This window comes from Homo sapiens, chromosome 8, assembly GCF_000001405.40.
Source record: "Homo sapiens chromosome 8, GRCh38.p14 Primary Assembly".
NCBI classification, from domain to species: Eukaryota; Metazoa; Chordata; class Mammalia; order Primates; family Hominidae; genus Homo; species Homo sapiens.
This window is the reverse complement of record NC_000008.11, coordinates 68,484,798-68,506,223: the sequence shown is the minus strand read 5'-3', so window position 1 is coordinate 68,506,223 and position 21,426 is coordinate 68,484,798. Positions and strand designations below refer to the sequence as shown.

Genomic DNA, 21,426 nt, shown 5'->3' with positions numbered 1-21,426 from the left:
TATCTAATAATAAAATGTACATGATGTAAATGCCATATTGCTGAGAAAGTCATCTTCTAATTTTGTATCTGAGTGTGTGTGTGTGCATGTGCATGTGTGTGTGTGTGTATGTGTGTGTAGTAACATAACAAAACCAAAAACAAAAAAAACAAAAACACTCCAAGGGGTTAAAGTTAAAATTCAGAATAGAGATGGAGTTGGCTACCATGCAATAGAGGTTGGTTTCACTGATGAGTTATTTTTAGCTACATGGTAGTTACCTAGGTGTTCATTATATTATTCTTTATATATTTTGATGCATGATACAGTCATAACAACTTTTGAAAGTAAAAAAATATATATTTGCTAGATTAATTGAATTCCAACTAGTTCAGTTTTTCAGTTTTGGTTCAGATATATTTTTATTCCTCAGTTAACTTCAATACCTCTCCCTTGCCTGATTCTCAGCCAGTCATGTTGCTCATTCTTTTTTTTTTTTTTTTTTTGGAGACGGAGTCTCGCTCTGTCGCCCAGGCCGGACTGCGGACTGCAGTGGCGCAATCTCGGCTCACGGCAAGCTCCGCTTCCCGGGTTCACGCCATTCTCCTGCCTCAGCCTCCCGAGTAGCTGGGACTACAGGCGCCCGCCACCGCGCCCGGCTAATTTTTTGTATTTTTGGTAGAGACGGGGTTTCACCTTGTTAGCCAGGATGGTCTCGATCTCCTGACCTCATGATCCACCCGCCTCGGCCTCCCAAAGTGCTGGGATTACAGGTGTGAGCCACCGCGCCCGGCCCATGTTGCTCATTCTTTCAGTGAGAAAATGAAAGCAATCAAAAGAGAATTTGTTCAACTTCTTACCACCAAACCCACCAGCTACTGGCATTCTTTGAGTGAATGAAAGAATGATACAAAATTCAAGTAATAATGATCTAATATTCAATAATACATTATCGACATAATTAGTCATTTAAAAATGTAAATAAAAAGTACAATGAAATACTACTTCACTCTCATGAAGATGGCTATAATTTCAAAGACAAACCATAACAAATGATGGCCAAGATGTGAAGAAATTGGAACCCTCCATACTTGCTGGTGGGAATGTAAAGTGGCACAACCCCTGTGAAAATCAATTTGGGGCTAGGCATGGTGGCTCACCATGCACTTTGGGAGGCCAAGGCAGGCAGATCACCTAAGGTCAAGAGTTCGAGACTAGCCTGACCAACATGGTGAAACCCCGTCTCTACTAAAAATACAAAACTTAGGCCAGGCATGGTGGCTCACGCCTGTAATCCCAGCACTTTGGGAGGCTGAGGCAGGTGGATCACCTGAGGTCAGGAGTTTGAGACCAGCCTGGCCAGCATGGTGAAACACCATCTCTACTAAAATACAAAAATTAGCTGGGCATGGTGGCAGGCACCTGTAATCTCAGCTACTTGGGAGGCTGAGGCACGAGAATCGCTTGAATGCAGAAGGTGGAGGTTGCAGTGAGCTGAGATCACACCACTCCACTCCAGCCTCGGCGACAGAGCAAGACTGTCTCAAAAAAAAAAAAAAAAATTAGGCATGGTGACACATGCATGTAATGCCAGCTATTCGGGAGGCTGAGGCAGGAGAATCGCTGGAACCCAGAAGATGGAGGTTGCAGTGAGCCAAGATCGTGCCATTGCACTCCAGCCTGGGTGACAGAGCAAGACTGTCTCAAAAGAAAGAAAAAAGAAAAAAAAGAAAATCAATTTGGCAGTTCCTCAAAAGTTTAAACACAGAGTTACCATATGACCTAGCATTCCCTATCCTCTGTATATACCTCAAAGAAATGAAACGACATGTCCATACAAAAACCTGTACACAGATATTCATAGAAACATTATTTATAATGGCTGAAAAGTAGAAACAACTCAAAGATCCGTCAACTGATGAATAAGAAAATGTGGCATACCCCTACAATGGAATATTATTCATCAATAAAAAGAAATGAAGTACTGAGACACAACAACATAGACAAACCTTGAAAACATTATTCTAAGTAAAAGAAAACAGTCACAAAAGGTCACATACTATATGATTACATTTATATGAAATTTCCAGAATAGAAAAATTTATAGAAACAGAAAATAGATTAGTGGTCGTCTAGGGCTGAGGAGTTGGAGGGACTGGGGAGTGAGAGTAACTGCAATGGATAGAGTTTCTTTTGGGGATGATGAAATTGTTCTAAATTTAGGTTGTGGTGATGATTGCACAACTCTGTGAATATCCTAAAAACTACTAAACCATATACTTTAAAAGGATGTATTTTATGATATGTGAATTATATTTCAATAAAGCTGTTAAAATAATACATGAAATTCATTTTCCCTTTTACAGTAGACTAATTAACTAAATCCAGATCTAACTGGGTCTAACACTATAGTATGGACTTGGAATGACACAAATGAAGGATCAGAACCCAAGAGGTGAACGTTTATTCCATGTCTATGAAGTACTAGTTTTGAGATCTTGAGCAAATCACTGAGTCACTTTGGCCTCAGTTTTCTTATTTGGAAAAAAAAAAAAAAAGAAAAAGAAAAGAGAATAACTACTCCATTGGACCGTTTTGAGAACTAAATTTAATAGCACATCCAAAAAGCACCTCATATGTTTCCCAACAGGTGCCCAATATTCTCTCTTCTCCCCTTCTTTCCTATCTTCTGCATCCTACCTATGATCTAAAACTTTTTACTCTTTATTATGAAAATGTTCATACAAATACAAAAGTGGAAAGATAAATGAATGCCTTTGTACCCACACACATTTTCATCAATCATTAATTCAAGGGTAAACTCACTTCATTTTTATCTGTGACCCCCACCCCACCTGGCACATCGCTTCTACATTCCCCCTTCCTTGCCCAGATTATGTCAAAGCAAATCTCATTCATCATATCATTTGTAAATATTCTGGTATGTACTTTTTTTTGGTAAACAAATGTAATAGTATTAACATAGATAACAATAATACTCTAATATAAACAAATATTTAATTAGTTTTCCAATATCCCTGTTTATCTAGGAAAATTATCTCTGGACAAGTCAGGCTAAGCAAGACTCCATACACTGCAACTGATGGACAGTCTTTTACATTTCTCTTAATTATTACATTTCTCTTAATCTATAGCTTCTATTCCTCTGCTTCCATTTTTCTCTTATGCTTTTTGTTGTTCAGAAAACCTGGGCCTTTTGAGCTTTTCATCTTGTAAGTTTTCCACAGTCTGTATTTTCCCCTTCACATTCTTGTGATGTGGTTTGAAACGTTCCTCTGCTCCTTGTAATTTCCATAAACTGGTAGTTAGATCTGGATTAAAGTTTTCTGTTGTTTTTGTTTTTGCCAATACTACTTGAGAGAGAATGGTTATCGTTTCATCTGGAGGCACATAATGTCCCACTGATTCTTCAGTGATGTTGGCAGCATTGATAATTATTGCTAGATCCATTAATGTACTACCATTGCCAAATGGTAATTGTCTAATTTCATAATTCTACATTCATTTATATACTGGAATACTTCCGTAAAGAGAAATTTCCTGTCCTCAAATATTTGGCTACCTTTAAGTGTAATTTGTATAGGAAAAGCAGATCAAATGTTTGATTTTTTTCCCTCCACTTTTACTAATTTTTAAAAATAAGAACTTGGTCCCCTAACCTCCCCCAAAAATGACTAACGATGGCTTTTTTTATGAACATGTGGATTTTAAAATATTTGCTATAACTCACTATATTGGGGTTATTATATCTTACTCATCTTTAAATCCTCAACTCTTCCCAGTGGAAGATTACTTATGCTAGCTCCGAGCTTTTTTGACAAAATCTTAGTGATCTTTGGTAGTGTTTTTGCCTTCTGGTACAAGATAGAGCTATTTCAGGCACTTTTTGTATATTCCTTGCTCCAGACCTGGAATCAACCATTATTCTAAGGGAACCTGATTCCTCTCAATGTGAAATGGTGAAACCCCATCTCTACTAAAAATACAAAAATTAGCCGGGCATGGTGGCGTGCGCCTGTAATCCCAGCTATTCAGGAGGCTGAAGCAGGAGAATCGCTTGAACCTGGGAGGCGGAGGTTACAGTGAGCTGAGATCACGCCACTGCACTCCAGCCTGGGGACAGAGCGAGACTGTCAAAAAACGAATAAACAATCAAACAAACAAAAAACATCCTTAAAGACGAGAATCTGAACACACACACACACGGAGTACTAATTCTATTGGGTTGGTAATAAGTGGATAAACTAAGAAATATCTTTTTTTTTGAAATGTCAAAATATTTACTTATTGAAGAAAGCAACATGACAACAAAATTGACTGATCTTTCCCTTCTACCCTTTGTACCTATGTGTATCTAGCAGAAAATTCTTAGCTCTGGCTATGGGCATACAGAAACTTCCTATTGATGATTATATTCAAATGTTTATTTACTTTCCCCAGAATAAATTGGGGGACTGGCATTGTCTGGATTGATCACGGGACAGATACTCACAAAGCTCCATCTTGAGTTTCATGTTTATGAGCAAAAAATGGACACAGTGGCTAAAAGAAATTTTGTTGTGTGTGTAGATATGGCACCTATCACTAACATTATTTAAAAAATGAAACCCATACCTATATCCAGGAAAATTCCCACTCTGTGCAACTGGGGACTCACCTCTAGAGAACAGGCAAAGGCATAGTGCTGGCAGCAAAGACCTTTCCTTTTCTGGAACCTACAGTCCAGAAGCCTTGTTCTGAAGAAAGTACAATGTCCCCTGTTGATTCACAGATTCCTTACAAATGCCCACATCCCATACTTTGCTGGTGCCCACATCCACCTCCCAGTAACAGTGGCTGGAAGTGAAGCCGGGGCGCCCAGGACACACAGTGCAGAGTTGAACCTCTCAGCTTGCTCCTTCCTATTCTGGCTGAAATTCCCAAATGGACACTACTTAGGTCTTCAGAAATGGTGAGATGGTTGTTGGCTGTGTCCACATCCAAGGTCATATCCACTTGAAACTTCCTCATCCTTGGGTTCATTGTTAGAATAGATTTCAGCTTGAGCTCTAGTTCCTTGATCATGGAAACCAGCGCCCTCAGCTTGAACTTGGGCTTGATATTACTCTTAGGAGAGACCACAGAGCAGAAGGGGCACAGTAAACCTTCCCCATGGGCTCCTTCTGCAGTGAATTGATGCATTGGAGGCAGAAGGCATATCCACATTTCAGTTGCACAGGTTCTTCAAGATCATTTGGACAGATGGGACATCTAATTATTTCTTTGAAGTGTTCAGCCATGGCAAATGTCTCTTATTCCCAAGCTTCTTCTGCCTCCCTGTCTGCAGTGGTTTGTGCAGACAGCTCAGATCGAGAAGTATCTATTTTAAAAATTTTTTAATATAATTCAGACTTCCAGAAAAGTTGCAAAAAGAAAAAAAAATTCTGTATACCCTTCCCCTGATTTGCCCGAATGTTAATGGTTAATGTAATAATGTCAACACTGTTGGTTCGTATTTTGAATTACTATTTTGGTTGACACTTTGCCCTACCATTTTTTTCTCTCTCATCTGTGTGTGTGTGTTGAGGGCTGGGTGGGTGTGAGTGTGGATGTGTGTGGGTGAGGGTTCTCTTCTTTACATATAAAATTTCCTCAGAACCACTGGAAAGTAAGTTGCAGATATGATGCTCCTTTGTCCCTAAACACTTTAGCATATAGGACATTTTCTTATATGGTCAAAGTATAATAATACAATACTAATGCACCAACCTTGTTTAAATTTCCCCAATTATCAGAATACTGTTGTTCATGGTAAAAGAATATCCTGGATCCCACGTGGCATTCAACTGTCATTTTAAAAAATCTCCTTTAACCTGAAAGTTTTCAGGCTTTCTTTGATCTATGACCTTCATGTTTTTGAAAAGTATGGGCCAGTTATTTTTTAGAAGGTCCCTCAACTGGTGTTTTCCAATGTTTCCTTATGATTATATTCAAGTATGCACTTTGGAAAGAATAACACAGAAGTGATATATTTCTGTTAGGCCATTTTTGTTACTATAAAGGTATACCTGAGTCTAGGTAATTTATTTTAAGAAGAGGTTTAATTGGCTCATGGTTCTGCAGGCTGCATAGGAACCATGGTGCTGGCATCTGCTTCTGGTGAAGTCTTCAGGAGTCATGGCTGAAGGCTATGCAGAGCCACCATTTCACATGGCCAGAGTGGGAGAAAGAGAGTGAGGAGGATGGTCGCACATACTTTTAAACAACCAGATCTCACATGAACTAACTGAACAAGAACTAACATCATCAAGGGAACGGTGCTAAACCATTCATGAGGGATCCGCCCCCAATCCAATCACCTCCCACCAGGCCCCACCTCCAACACTGGGGATTACATTTCAACATGAGATTTGGAGGAGACAAACATCCTATATCAATATTCTTTTCACATCAAAAGACACATGATGTTGATTTTTCCTCTCACTGAAGGTATTAACCTTGATCACCTGGTTCAGGTGGTATCTTCCAGGTTTCTCCAGTGAAAAGTTGCTCCTTTTGTTAATTAACAAGTATCTTCTGGGGAATATCCTGGAATTCACCAAAATTTTACCTACGAATTTTAACATCCTTTGCTGACACCTGACTGCATCAACTACTATGACGGTTGCCAATTTGTGGCTTTCTAATTCCATCATTCCTTCTAAATTTACTTGTTGGTAGTGTACTATGCATCCTCCTTCACCTAATGCATGGATGTACGGCTGTATGTATATCAGTATGGACATACGGATTATTATTGTATTTAATGGGCTATAACACATTTCCATTATTATTTATTTTTATGCTTGAATTTTCCCAGATTTTGCCAGGAGAAGCCAGGATAATCTGGCCCCTGTGTCCTTTTGACAAGTCCCATCATTATTTGAATGTATCTTTGATTTCTGGCACTAAAAAATATTCCAACTATGCAGCCATATAAAAGAACAAAATCTTGTCCTTTGCAACAACATGGATGCAGCTGGAGGCCATTATCCTAAGCGAATCAATGCAGGAACAGATAACCAAATACCACATGTTCTCACTTACAAGTGGGAGCTAAGCATTAGTCACACATGGCCATAAAGATGGGAACAACAGATACTGGGGACTATTAGAGTGGGGAGAGAAAGAGAGGGGCAAGGGCTGAAAAACTACTCATTGGATACTATGTTCACTACCTGGTTGATGGGATCTTTCATACCCCAAACCTCAGTTTCACGCAATACACTCACATAACAAACCTGCACATGTACCCCCTGAAGTGATTTTTAAAAAAAGATATTCCAGACTCAACTTGTGCTTTCTTAGTACAGTCCCAGATTCAGCCATTTCTCCAGGGAGACTTGATTCCTTTTAAAAGCAAATGCTATTTAGAAAACAATCTCTGGGCTCTAGTTGTGCTGACAGCCACTAGAATGTGCATTTTATTTTTTAAAAGAAAAAATACTGGGTTCTTAATGATATTTCTGATTTGAAATCAGGATTATAATATTTTTACTTAAATTTATGGACCTTACATTATATATATTTCTTTTCCCCATGCCAAAAATTCTAGTTCTTAAAGATACCAACATAATTACTTCTTCTGTATATCACGCAAAGCACACACAACAGTCTCATTATAATTATATCAGCACTATCATTAACAACACGATTACTAAAAACACTTTCAGACTGTGGTGCTGTTCTCCCTGTCCTTAGAGTACCTCCCACTAGAGACAATCAAATCACTATCGATAATGGCTTAGAGTAATTCATCTCAGCATGTTTATGCCAAAAAATTGAAATGCAGTTGTGCTCACTTGTTTCATTTTGTTTTGGATAATAATAAATTACTGTTTTAAGATTTAATATTTAAGTTGTTCCAAAGTCAAATATTCAAAATTCTAAGAGGGCAAGCTTCTATCCCTATCTTCTCCTCTCTTTACCTTTCTTTATTTCTACCCCCATACCATCTCTTCTGCCATAGGCAACTTTTAAAAACAATTTGATGTGTGTGCATATGCATGTGGGTGTGTGTATTTTACAATAGGGCAGGTTTTGCTATTGTTGTTTTAGTTTTCACAGAAGCAAATGTGAGCTGGGCACCGTGGCTCATGCCTGTAATCCCAGCACTTTGGGAGGCTGAGGCAGGTGGATCACCTGCGGTCGGGAGGTCGAGAGCAGCCTGACCAACATGGAGAAACCCCATCTCTACTAAAAATACAAAATTAGCTGGGCATGGTGGTGCATGTCTGTAATCCCAGTTACACGGGAGGCTGAGGCAGGAAAATCGCTTGAACCCGGGAGGCGGAGGTTGCGGTGATCCAACATCGCACCATTCCACTCCAGCCTGGGCAACAAGAGCGAAACTCCATTCCCCCCATCTCCCCCCAAAAATAGAAGCAAATATGTATCTATATTTTCATTGCACTTACTTAGATGAATGGTAGCATACTAAGAACACATTTCTCTCCCTTCCTTTTTTCATTTAGCAATATATTATCCCAGGGGTCATTCCTTAATCCATAGAGATATCCTTTCATTTGTATAGCTGTATAGTACTGTCTTGTATGGTTATACTGTAATTATCCAGTATTTTTATTTTAATGGACATTTTGGTTTTTCTACTCTTTTGTTATTAAAATAGTATGACAAGGTACAGCCACACATATAGGTCTTTTTGTATTTTTGCTAGTGTGTCTTTGGAATAGATTCATAGAAATAGGATCATTTCATCAAAGAATAATTGCACATATAATGTACTAGATATTGTAAAATTTCCCTGCATAGTGTTTGTAGCATTTTGCATTCCCACTAGCAATGTGTGAAATTGTCTGTGTTTCCAGTGCCTCACCAACAGAGTATCTGACAAATGGGGATTTTTGTTAATCTGCCAGGTAAGCAGTAATGTTTAATTTGCATTTATCTCATTTTGAGCAAAGCTGAGCATCTTTTTATGTAGTTAAGAGGATTTTTTTCTATAAACAACCTCCTTATATGGCTCATTTGGAATTTATATGGCTTATATGGAATTTAGGTCTTTTATTCTCTGTTTTTAGAAGCTCCCTACAATTAGAAATATTAAGTTCTGTCTGTGATATAAACTGCAAATATTTTTCTTGGGTTGTCACTTTCCAAGTTTTATTTTTGAGAGACAAACATGGGCCACATTTTTAAGACAAACATGGACCACAACCATGCTGAGAGAACTTAGAGTGAAGTTTACATGGCTATCTTTCTTAGTATTAGAAATTTTACCTGATAAACATCAAACATACGACCAACATAGCATATAAAGCAGCTCTACAGATATTTTCCTACTGCCCAAAATATCATATAATGCACATGTAGGTCACATGTGAGTAGGCAAGAGATTCTGGAACACAGAAGCAAGACAACAGGATCACAGCAATTTCAGTATGCTCTGCTTGTTATAGGAAATCCCCAGAACATTCTCCAATTACTGACCAAAAAAAGCAATAAAACTCAGATTTGTCTGCCTGGGGAGAAATAAACAGAAATAGAAAGTGAATAGCAAAACAAAGCTATCTGGTGAAAAGACATTCTTACTTGGAAGGAGTTAAGATTTTGCCCCTTCCATGGGTGTACTTAGTGAGGCAAGCGTCAAGCGGCCTGACAGCCCGTGGCACACTGTCTACAGCTGATGTCAATGGTACACATATAGCCAGTGTGAAGCAACTTAAAATAGGCCCTCCTTGAGCTTCCTAACTTTTTAGAAAGGCAAGATTACATAGCAATTAAGTAAATGAGTTTTGAAGGTAAATTTATGCTCAAATTTGAATTGTGCATTATATTACCTCTCTCTTAAATTTGCTCAACTCAGCAAAATCTCTGGGCTTTCATTTTCTTATGTGTAAAATGGAGATCATGAGAGCTTTCTCATGGGGTTGTTATGAGTATAAGTGAGAATGTGTCCTCAAAGCACTTAGCACACTGCCTGTCACACTACGTGCTTGATAAATACAGTCTTCATGAACTGTCTATTGAGTCTATTACATGGTCTCATATATATTTATCTTGCGTGGTAAAGCAATTTTTGTGAGCATGAACATTATACTATCTGAAGTCTATTTCTTAAGAGGAAAAAGTCTTCTTTTTAAGACATTATTCTGTCTTAACTCTCTTAACTACTTTATAAAAACAACCAGAGCTCTTAATGTAATAGAATAACAAAGAAAATGTCTTGTGGTAGGAAAACCAGCAAAAGGCCACAAAAGACAGAACAACATAAACAGAAAAATAAACTTTTAGTAATTTCTGGCTAGTTATTTACCCAGTAATTATTTACCAAAAGCTTAGCATGGGCTATACAATAGTACCCATTGTGGACAAAAAGTTTCTAGTAATAAACATAGCAATTATTAATTGAATAATTACTCTGCACTAGGCACAAAGATAGGAAATGTAATGACATAACCAATTGCACAGATTGAGAGTGTAGACTCTGGTCTGTTAAACTGCCTGGGTTTCAGTTCTAGCTCCTCCACTTACTATGTGACAAAGAGGAGTTTATAAAACTCCAAGTGCTTCTGTTATTCCATCTGTTAAACTGGTGAATAATAGCACCTGTCTCATAAATATGATATAATTGTTAAGAGCCATAGGCTCTGGAGCTAACTGGCTTTGATTTGTGCTCCACTTCTATTTTCTTTTTATGTGACTTCTGCTAAGTTTATTAACCTCTGGATCTTAATTTCCTCACCTGTCAAATGTGGATAATACTCCCTATTTCCCAAGATATTAGTAAATACTAAATGAGATAATGCAAGCAAATAATGTAGAATGCTATCTGGCATATAGTAAGTTCTCAATAAATGTTAACTATGTTTATTAAGATAAAATGGCATAATCTATATAAAATGCTTAGTCCAAGGTCTAGAATTTAGTATGCACTAAATAGTACATTGTTATTATATATATATATATATTATTGTTACATGTCTATTTAAAGTTTCAAGGACTAGAAACAGACTCACTACCACTCAACATGTAATAAGAGCTAAAGATAGCAGTATTTCTGATGAGTTATCTAAAAGATATACAGACTGCCTATTGCTCTAAGTACTCTAAAATATACCCCACACTAAAGCTAGAACATCAGGGAGGACTGTCCTGTACTTCGCTATTGAGACCTCCGGGGGAATTGTTCTAACTGAAGTTTACTTTTGCTTTATGACATCTGCCTAGGTCAGTAGACACTATTCTAAGAGCTCCTGTGAATGTACTGATGTTATAAAGAATATATACATATACACGCACACAAATATATATATATTTTTTGAGATATATATATATTTTTTGAGAGAGATATATATTTTTTGAGATATATATAATATATATATATTTTGAGATGGAGTCTCACTCTGTCACCCAGGCTGGAGTGTAGTAGCGTGATCTCAGCTCACTGCAACCTCCGCCTCCCGTGTTCAAGTGGTTCTCCTGCCTCAGCCTCCCAAGTAGCTGATATTACAAGTGCCCGCCACCATGCCCGACTCATTTTTTGTATTTTTAGTAGATACAGGGTTTCACCATGTTGGCCAAGCTGGTCTCGAACTCCTGACCTCAAGTGATCCACCTCCTCGGCCTACCAAAGTGCTGGGATTACAGGCGTGAGCGACTGCACCCAGACTAAAAGACTATATTTTTTAGTTACAGAAAAATCATAACATAAAATTCACCATCTTAACCATTTTTAGTGTACAGTTCAACTATGTTAAGTTTATTTATGTTGTTGTGCAGCCAATCTCTGTGCGAACCAATGTTGGGCAGACATCTTTCACCTTGCAAAATGAAACTCTACACTCATTAAACAATAACTTCCCATTTCCCCTTCCCCTCAGCTCATGACAACCACTGTTACACTGTTTCTGTAAATCGGATTACTCTAAATACTTCATATAAGTAGAATCATGCAGTATTTGTCTTTTTATGACTGGCTTATTTCACTTAGCATAAGTTCCTCAAGGTTCATCCATGTTGTAGTATGGAACACTATTACCTTCTTTTTGAAGGCTGAACACTATTCCATTGTATGTATATATGTATATACTGCATTTTGTTTATCCATTCATCTGTCAGTGAACATTGGGTTGCTTTCACCTCTTGGTCATTGTGAATAATGCTGCTATGAACATGGGTGTCCAATTATTTCCTATAAATCTTGCTCTTAGTTCTTTTGGATATATACTTAGAAGTGGGATGGCTTCATAATATGGTATCTTAGTTCATTCCTGCTGCTATAACAAAATAACTTGAACTAGGTCATGTATAAATAACATAAATTTATTTGTTACAATTTTGGAAACTGGGAAGTCCAGATCAAGGTGCTAGCAGATTCAGTGTCTGAATCTGAAGGTAAGAGCACGCCCTTTGTCTCTGAGTTGGTGCCATCTTGCTACATGCTCACATGGTGGAGAGGAAGCAGAAAAACCAAACAGGTTTCCTCAAGCCCTTTCATAAAGGCACTAATCTCATTTATGAGGGTGGATCCCTCATGGCCTAATCGCCTCCTAAAGACCCTGCTTCTTAATGCTCTTACATTGGGGATTACATGTCAATATGAATTTTGGAAAGATACAAACATTCAAACCATAACAGATGGTATTTTATTTTTAACTTTTTAAGGAACTGCTATACTATTTTCCATAGTAGCTGCACCATTTTACATTCCCACAAACAGTGCACAAAGTCCCACTTTCTCCATATCCTCACAAACACTTGCTATTTTTTCATTTTGTTTGTTTGTTTTCTGATAGTGGCCATCCTAATGGGTCTCAGAGGGTATCTCATCGTGTTTTTTTCCCTCTGGTGATTAGTGATATGGAGCATCTTTTCAGATGCTTGTTGGTCATCTGTACATCATCTTTGGAGAAATGTCTACTCAATCCTTTGCCCATTTTTAATTGAGTAATTAGTTTTTGTTGTTGAGTTATAGGAGTTATTCATATATTCTGGACACTAACTTCTTATCAGATGTGTAATTTGTGAGTGTTGTGTCCTTTGATGCACGGAAGTGTAATGATATTTTGAGGGTATCAATGCCTACATTATACAGCATCTTTTTCAGCAGGAGGTTATAGTGATCCTCCATTCTCTTCCCTTTGAAATACTTTCCCATATACTTCTTGGAAATATTTTATATTGTGGATATTTTAGTTTAAATTACTTTCCATGGGAAATTAACGTTAGTTTTAATAGTCACTAAAACCATCTACATTTTACAGAGAAGGTAACTAAATTTCAGCATCTGGAAGTAACCTCCTGAAGGCTATGTAGTTAGTAAATGGCAGGTGCCGACATTCAATCCAAAGCCTTTCTGTGGATTTTTTCAGAATACTGGGCTACTTCTTGAAGCAGTGAACAAAAACTCTGTCATTTGTGATGCAGTCACTGTGCTCGCTAAAGGATCTCGGTGGGTGAGCACACTTTCTGCAGGGCTGACTAGGGAGGCTGGAACTTAAAGGAGGGATCACAGCCAGAGAAAGAAAAGGGAATGACATGAACAAAAATGTGAAAATAAATAAAACTATGACCTAGAAGTACTGTCTTCTGGCTACTTTACCCTATTTCTTGTGGAGTGCAATACAGTTTGGATGGAAAAAAGAAGGAAATCAAGCATAAGAGATAGATGTCAGCCACAACATGGAGACTGTTAATTCTAGTCTTAGAAATCTGGACTTGAGCCTGGCATGGTGGCTCATGCACAAAATCCCTTGGGAGGCTGAGAAGGAAGGATTGCTTAAGGCCGGGAGTTTGAGACAAGCTTGAGCAACATAGTAAGACCCTGTCTCTAAAAAAATTAAAAAATTAGCCAGGCATGGTGGCACACGTTTGTAGTCCCAGCTACTCAAGAGGCTGAGGTGGGAGGGTCATTTGAGCCCAGGAGATCGAGATTGCAGTGAGCTATGATCGCAGCACTGCACACCAGCCTGGGTGACAAAGCGAGACCCCATCTCCATTAAAAATAAAATAAATAAAAGAAAAATGGCTAAAAAAGAAATTTGGGCTTAATTTGGTAGATACTAGAGAGTCAAGAAAAAAATTTCAATAAGATTTTGCTTTAGGAAGAATCTTCTTGTGGCATGTCTTAGGTAGGGTTCCCTAGAATGAGATGCTGAGAAAGTGATTTATTGAGGAGTTCTCTCAAGTGAAACCTATAAAAGAATGAGGGAGCCAGGAGAAGATGAGGAAAGAAGCGTGTAAACACCCAACACTCATAGCAGCTGAAGGATAGGTCACACCACCCTACTGGAGGGAAACTGGGCAGGCACCAATCATGTCTACTATGTGGCATTTTGAAGGATGAATTGGAATCATGGGAGCTTGAAGAACCACATACAGATATAAAAGGTACTACCATTTGAACTTGGATAGTGGCAGTGTGGGCAGAATCACGACTTCCCAGAGATGTTCATGTCCTAATACCCGAAACCTGTGAATATGTTCCATTACAAATGAATTAATATTTACATTTCTATATGTAATTAGTTTCATAATTACATTTGCATGAATATGCAAAAGGACTTTGCATGATTAAGATTAAAGATCTTGAGATGAAGAGATTATCTGCATTAGCCAGGTGGCCTCAACCTAACATAATTCCATAAATAGGGAGAGTTGTTCCTGGCTGAAGTTAGAGACAGAAGAGATGTTGCTGGTTTTAAAGGGATAACAAGGGGGCCATGCACTAAAGGAATACAGGCAGCCCTAGAAGCTTGAAAAGGTGAGCAAACAGATTTCCCCTGGAATGGAAGGAAGGCAGCCCTGATTACACCTTGACTTTGTTTAGCTCAGGGAAACTCATGTTCAACTTTGAAACTACAGAGCTGTAAGATAATAAATTTGTGTTGCTTTAAAGTGTCACAGCAGCAATCGAAAGCCAATACAGTAGTCATCGAAGAGAAAGAAAAACGTTAGTGACAAAGGAATTGATGGAATTCCCACAACTTAAAAAAAAAAAAGCTTAAAAAATAATAACCTCTGTTTCATTTTATTTCTTTATTTTAAATAGAATTAATGATTCTTATTACCTTTCTCAGAGTTCACAAAGTAATGTAAAAGGCCATGAAGAAATGATTTCAATGAAATTATAACTGAATTAGAAAATGATGGTTAAAAAATTCCATATTTTATAAAGGTTGGGAAAAACATATATTTAGTGAATCCCCAAAATTGTTAAGGGAAAAGTAAAAGGAAGAAGCTATATTTACTGTTACATTAAAGACATAGGTACCAGGTGAATACTAACTGCAAACCATTCCGATTGGCTGTTTTTCAGTGGCTGCCTCCCTGAGATTCACTTTTTCTTATTCAGGAAAATTCAGGACTGTGAGCTTCATGGTCACCAGAGGGTGCTATGGGACAGGCTCTCCTGCTCCTCCAAGGGTGACTGCCAGACAGGCAAAGAATGGTGGCAATGGCTCTGGAAGCCTGTGACTCCTTTCTGTTATCTAGCACTCCAAAAATCAGATGCAAAAGTGGGGTCGATTTTTTTTTTCACTGAAATTTTTTTTAAGTGAAAAGTTATTTATGACAACTTTTGGCATCTTCCTCAATAAAAATGAAAAATAATAAATGTGCAATAAAATTCAGCAGTTTCCACAAAGTCTTCAAAAAACAGGAATATTAGGTAAGTAAATGAAAATCAGCAGTGTCATACAATTTAGTTAAATGGATATTCCCCTGAGCTACTGCCGGGAAGAGAGAGGGTGTGAGGGAGAAGGCCATGTCCTGAGGCTGACACTTAACTGGGTGTCAGGGCATCCATAATTTATCCTGTGAGGGTTATATCTGTTTCAGTTCCAAGAACAGTTAAAATTCTTTAGCTCATCAACAAAGGTGTGGACACCAAAGCCGCTGCAAGTCAGAGCTCAGAAAAAAAGAGAAGGACAAGAGCCAAGCACAGTAACAACCGCATACGAGCTAATTTATGGCTCAGGCAGCCAGGGTTTTGCAGAATGTATTAGAAAGAGCAAATGAACCTAGAAATGGTGATGGTTATATCTTAGTACTTAAAATGAACATAGACCATAACTGCAAGAGGAGGAATTATTACATTTCTGCAAACTGTAAGGAAACTCATGGCATAAGAAGGAGACCAGCTGGGGTGAGACAATGACAGGCACACAGAGGGGGGACTAGAAAAGCAGAACAAGGCCGGAAAGCCATGCCTACCACTTATGCACTTGCCATTGAGTATGGTCAACATGGAGTTCTGCCTGGAGTCGGTACAGATGACAATGAAACTAATTCTAAAATATTATGATGGTTTGTTTATTAAAGGAAATAGATATTTAAGAATATATTCATAAATTATATTTTTTTAGTGAGTCAGAAATACATTCTTCTGGTACAAAATCCAAAAGGTGTTGTATTATATTTGGAATAGGATACTAGCTTTGTGGTTTTTGTAAAAATAATACAATTATTACAGAGTAGCTTATTGTTTTAAAATGTCAGGATTTATATGATACCATTTTTTGTAGAGGTTGAGCATCCCTAATTTGAAAATCTGAAATGCTCCAAAATCTGAAACTTTTTGAGCATCGACACGATGTCACAAATAGAACATTTTATACTTGACCTCGTGTGATGAGTCGCAGTCAAAATCCAGTCAAGACTTTGTTTCATGCACAAAATTACTAAGAATATTGCATAAAATTATCTCCAGGTGATGTGTATAAAATGTATATGAAACACAAATGAATTTTGTTTTAGACTTTGGTCCCAGCCCCATGATATCTCTTTGTGTATATATGAGTGTTCCAAAATCCAAAAAAACACCTGAAATTCAAAACATTTCTTGCCCCAAGTATTTTGGATGAGGTGTATGCAACCTGTACAATACTTTCTATCATTTTTTATGTATCTATCTAGCCCCCAAGCCAAATTTCAATATATTTTCTGTCTCAAAAGATATCTAGAGCAGTATTCACCAAATATTGATGATGGCTATTTCTATGTGCTTCTCTCTTTCCAGCTACACATCTGATGTTAGAGATTTTTCAGCCAAAACAACATATCACAACAGATTGAATGCAGAAGCAGATATGAAAATGTAGCAGTTTTCAATTAAGCCATACATTAAAGAGATTTTCAAAATGTAAACAATGCAAATTTCTTACTAACATCTTGTTTTAGAAAATAAAAGTATTTTTCCTAAAACTGTTATTTGTGTTAAGGTAATGGTTTAATCACTGCTATTTTAAAAAAAAACGTAAATTCGTTATCAGTTTAAATTTTTAACGTTTAGATATCTAATATCAATATATTATCAACACAAGAATCTAATATTGATAGATATAATCTTTATAAATCAAGACTCTTTGGGGTCCTCTCCAATTTTTAACAATGTAAAGGGCTTTTGAGACTAGAAAAATGAGAATATGTTTAGTTATAAATCAAATCTCTCTCATAAGCAACAACTCATATAAACATGTTTAATAGGCAATTCAAAATAAACAATCTAAATGAGAACTCTTAATGTTATCCAAACCTGACAAATTTGATTTTTTCCTAGTTTTTCTAATTTTAGTAAGCAGTACCACAATTGACCTAGTTGCTCATCTCCCAAACCTAGCAATCCATCATTGACTGATTTGTTCTGCAATTCCCCACATCCAATCCATTAGCAAGTTCCAGTGACACAACTATAGAAATATATTTCTAACCACACCACTTCTCACCACCATCATAACTACTACCCCACTTCAAAGTACCATCATAGTCTCTTGGCATCTCGGAAAATTAAAATAAACAAACAAAAAGCTTTATTGGTAAGGTTTCCAAAGAGGAGCTATCAAAAAATACAATGTTTTCCATATCATTATCATTTAGATACAAGTGGAATAAAATAATTTACATAATATAGTGTTATGAAGTTATTTTGCAATATAGTGATTCAGTGATTACAGTGATTCCATTTTCTCTAACCAAATTCTAAAGGCCTTGACTCAAAAGAGTAGGTGATATATATATTTAATGGAATAGCTTTCATAAAACAATATGCATTTAACTTTCAAAGTTTTAAAATGTTAGCCCAAATAAATTATACTTGAACATTTTATGTTTCAGAAAATTTATTTATGTTGAGACAGTGGAATAAAAGGTAAGTTCTACATTTTCTTTTCACCAGATGTATAGTTCAACTTACCTTATCGAGTTCATCTGAAATTGCAATACCTGGGATTTAAAAGAGATTTATAAAAAAAAGTTTTAGAAGCAATCTTTAGTAACCTAATGTTCAAAACAAACTTTCTATTTGTAAAAGTAGTGCATTTCCTATTCTATTTGTTTTCTTTTTATTAGTGCTTCAAAATAATGTGGCACATCCTTTTACCAATGAAAACAAATTAGGAATTTAAGTCAATTATGACAGCCATGAACTGCTGAAGCAATGCAAATGATGCAACAAAAACAAAGCAGCGCCATATTCCTTGCAGGTGGTTAAAGGCAGAACAAACTTGCGAATGTAATTGTAGAGATATCATTTTTATGTTATGATGACAATAAAGTATAATTTAGCCTGTTACTATTTTGCTCCTTGTTAAGAATTTAGATTCCCAGAATAATTAGATATTAAGGCAGAATGGTGGTCCAAGATGACTTATTCTAATGTCTTTAGTTTGTGGATGAGGAAATAGATGAGAAAGTTTAAGGAATTTTCCCACAGTCCCTCAGATTGACAGCTCCTCGAGCCAATGCGTAAATGATTCTTCATCACAAGTTCCTTCCCCCACCATCCACATATTTCTCACTGCACATCAGTATAATTTCTATCTTTATCCTTTCTCCAAAATTATTCTAAGTCAGCAATGTAAAAAGTTTAGTCCTTAACTTATTTCTCTGTGATGATACACTATCAATTCCACTTTACTGAAATGCTGTCCTCTCTTTTCTGTTCTCCTTTGTCTCCTTCACAGGAATTCCCTTTTTTGCAGGGATAGGGGTCCTTTCCTGAAATGGCAAGGGCTCTTTGTTGAGCTGTCTTTTCTTCTCATTTGATATACTTCTCTTGATAATCTACCCCATACCTTTGATATTTTTATTTCTCTATATGGCACATCTTTACTGCCAGCACAGACTTTCTTCCTGAGCTAATTGTTGAATTCTTGTGGGCATTCCATTATCAACTTGTCAGACTAAAGACATCATCCTCCTCAACTCACTCTGCGTTTTATTCTTTTGAACAATGGGGCTAAACTTCAGCACTGTGGCAGGGCGCTGGAGCAGGTGTGGCCAGCTCTCACATTCAGGGCACAGAGCAAAGGGGGGTTGGTGTCAAACCCCTGTAGGGAACGAGCCAAGAGATAAGGAAAGGTCTAAAGTTTGAAGCCCAGGAGAACTTGGAGAAAATAAGAATAGGAATTGAAGCTGAAGTTCAGCAGACTACAAAGAACAAGAAAGAATGAGCTGGGTTGGAAGAAAGAACCTGAAAGCAGCCTCAGGACAATGAACCTCAGTAGAAAGAGTGAGTTACAGGGTTCAGATCCCCTGCCTGCCTCGGGTATAGATGTGGAGGGTATAAATGATATTTCATTAGTTCTTATATCATCTCCCACACCACTAACCTAATGAATCAATTATACACAAAGCTGAAAAAGTACGCACAACTTCATCTCAGTAAATGACACCATTGTAGATCCCCTTGTAGATGACACTAGAAACACAGGTACATTTGGGGCTTATTCTTCAATATTTTATAAAATTCTTTTTTTGGTAGAAGTCATTGGTAACTAAGAATTTTTATGTGTCACATCAAAAGAGAGTCTAACTACCATTTCAGGGATTTGGGGTGACCAAAGCTTAACAATTATTCAAGGACTTGCTGTATTATGAAGGTAGTGCCTTCAAACAGTTAAAGGAGAAAAAGCTTTAAGGAGGGCTGGCATTGGAGCTGGGCTGTATCACTGCTGAGTGAACCGTGATGGAGAACTCAGATATGACAGCACCACAGTCAAGGGGAAGATGTGAGACTAAGAGATCTCAGAGTGCAATTATAAACATTTGTGAAGACCTAACATAAATCATACATTTGTGGAATTTTTGGGCTTAAAAAATATAGAGAATTACAAATGGTCATTTAGAATAACTCAGATGTTAAGAAAAGATAGGACATTTATGGGATACTAAATGGCTTATGTCACATTCTATAGATTTAAAATACATTATTACAATTTATAAAAATCCAAACATGTCTTTTAAATGCTTATATTTACATGTAATATAATTCTACAAAAAAAGTTCCTTTCCAATATGAATTCAAGATTAAGACTGAATATCTTAAATATAAAATTTTAAAGAGCTTAGTCTATTTTAAGAGAGCATAGATAATATGAAACAGAATTCTGTTTCTCACCCAAAGTCATAAAGCTTAGATATCTGAAATTAAATAATCCATAATTCAATTATTTGGGATTTTTTAAACTCTCTTAACCTCTTGATTTATTTTTATTTATTTATTTATTTATTTATTTATTTTTTATTTTTTTTTGAGACAGAGTCTTGCCTTGTCTCCTAGGCTGGAGTACAATGGCTGGATCTCGGCTCACTGCAACCCCCACCTCCTGGGTTCAAACGATTCTCCTGCCTCAGCCTCATGAGTAGCTGGGATTACAGGCACCCGCCACCATGCCCAGCTAATTTTTGTATTTTTAGTAGAGACGGGGTTTCACCATGTTGACCAGGCTGGTCTCAAACTCCTGACCTCGTGATCCGCCTGCCTGGGCCTCCCAAAGTGCTGGGATTATAGCGGTGAGTCACTGCACCTGGCCCGATCTCTTAATTTTTTTTTTAACTTCCTGCATCATGCTCTCGGGCTTACAAAACGAGTTTTCTCATTTAACTTTTAGAAAGCTACCAGTTGATCTTTAAGTTTCTTTTAGGCCTCATATTTATGAATCCATTATTCATAAAGATAGTGGCAATATATCACTGTTCCAGAAAGAAGCAAGAACTGGCAAGTAAGTAAAAAAGCCCTGTGAATAGTCAAAATGTGTGTCACACAGAACTGGCACATTACTCATGGGCTACCTCCTCTCAATTTTAGCAAACATATGAGCTGTTTTTCAGGGCTGGAAAATTTTAGCAGTTGAAAATGGAGATGAAGAGAAACATTGCTTTGAAGATGTATTTCAGTACTAAGAAGTAATGGACCCCAGAATACAACTCAAACTAGCTAAATGGAAAACTTGGTTTGGAGAAAGAATTATGCCTTTAATTATGCCAACTCTTTGGTCTGACCATATTTTGTTCAAATACTTATTATCATATTTTCTTAAAATTTACATATTTTGATGACTTTGCCTGAGAAATTATCCAAATAAATCTCCACTCTATTATCTGTAATTCTTTCAGCTTTCTATTATCAATGTCAAATTGCCTAGGGCATTTTTTTTAACTTCTTAT

At 37.0% G+C, this 21,426-nt stretch overlaps 1 protein-coding gene and 1 pseudogene across 13 annotated transcripts in view; both read right to left on the bottom strand.

Annotated features, from left to right (window-relative positions):
- The window catches only part of C8orf34 (chromosome 8 open reading frame 34), a 488,651-nt gene that overhangs the window by 312,800 nt on the left and 154,425 nt on the right, over positions 1-21,426 (bottom strand). For all 13 annotated transcript variants that reach the window (NR_146186.1, NR_146187.1, XM_047421328.1 and 10 more), the window contains one exon: positions 18,173-18,201. Coding sequence is in view for 11 of the 13 variants with exons in the window: in XM_047421328.1 (XP_047277284.1) it covers positions 18,173-18,201 (29 nt within the window). In the remaining 2 variants the exon portion in view is untranslated. The remainder of the gene's footprint in view (positions 1-18,172; positions 18,202-21,426) is intronic.
- RFPL4AP2 (ret finger protein like 4A pseudogene 2) lies at positions 4,428-5,316 on the bottom strand (annotated as a pseudogene).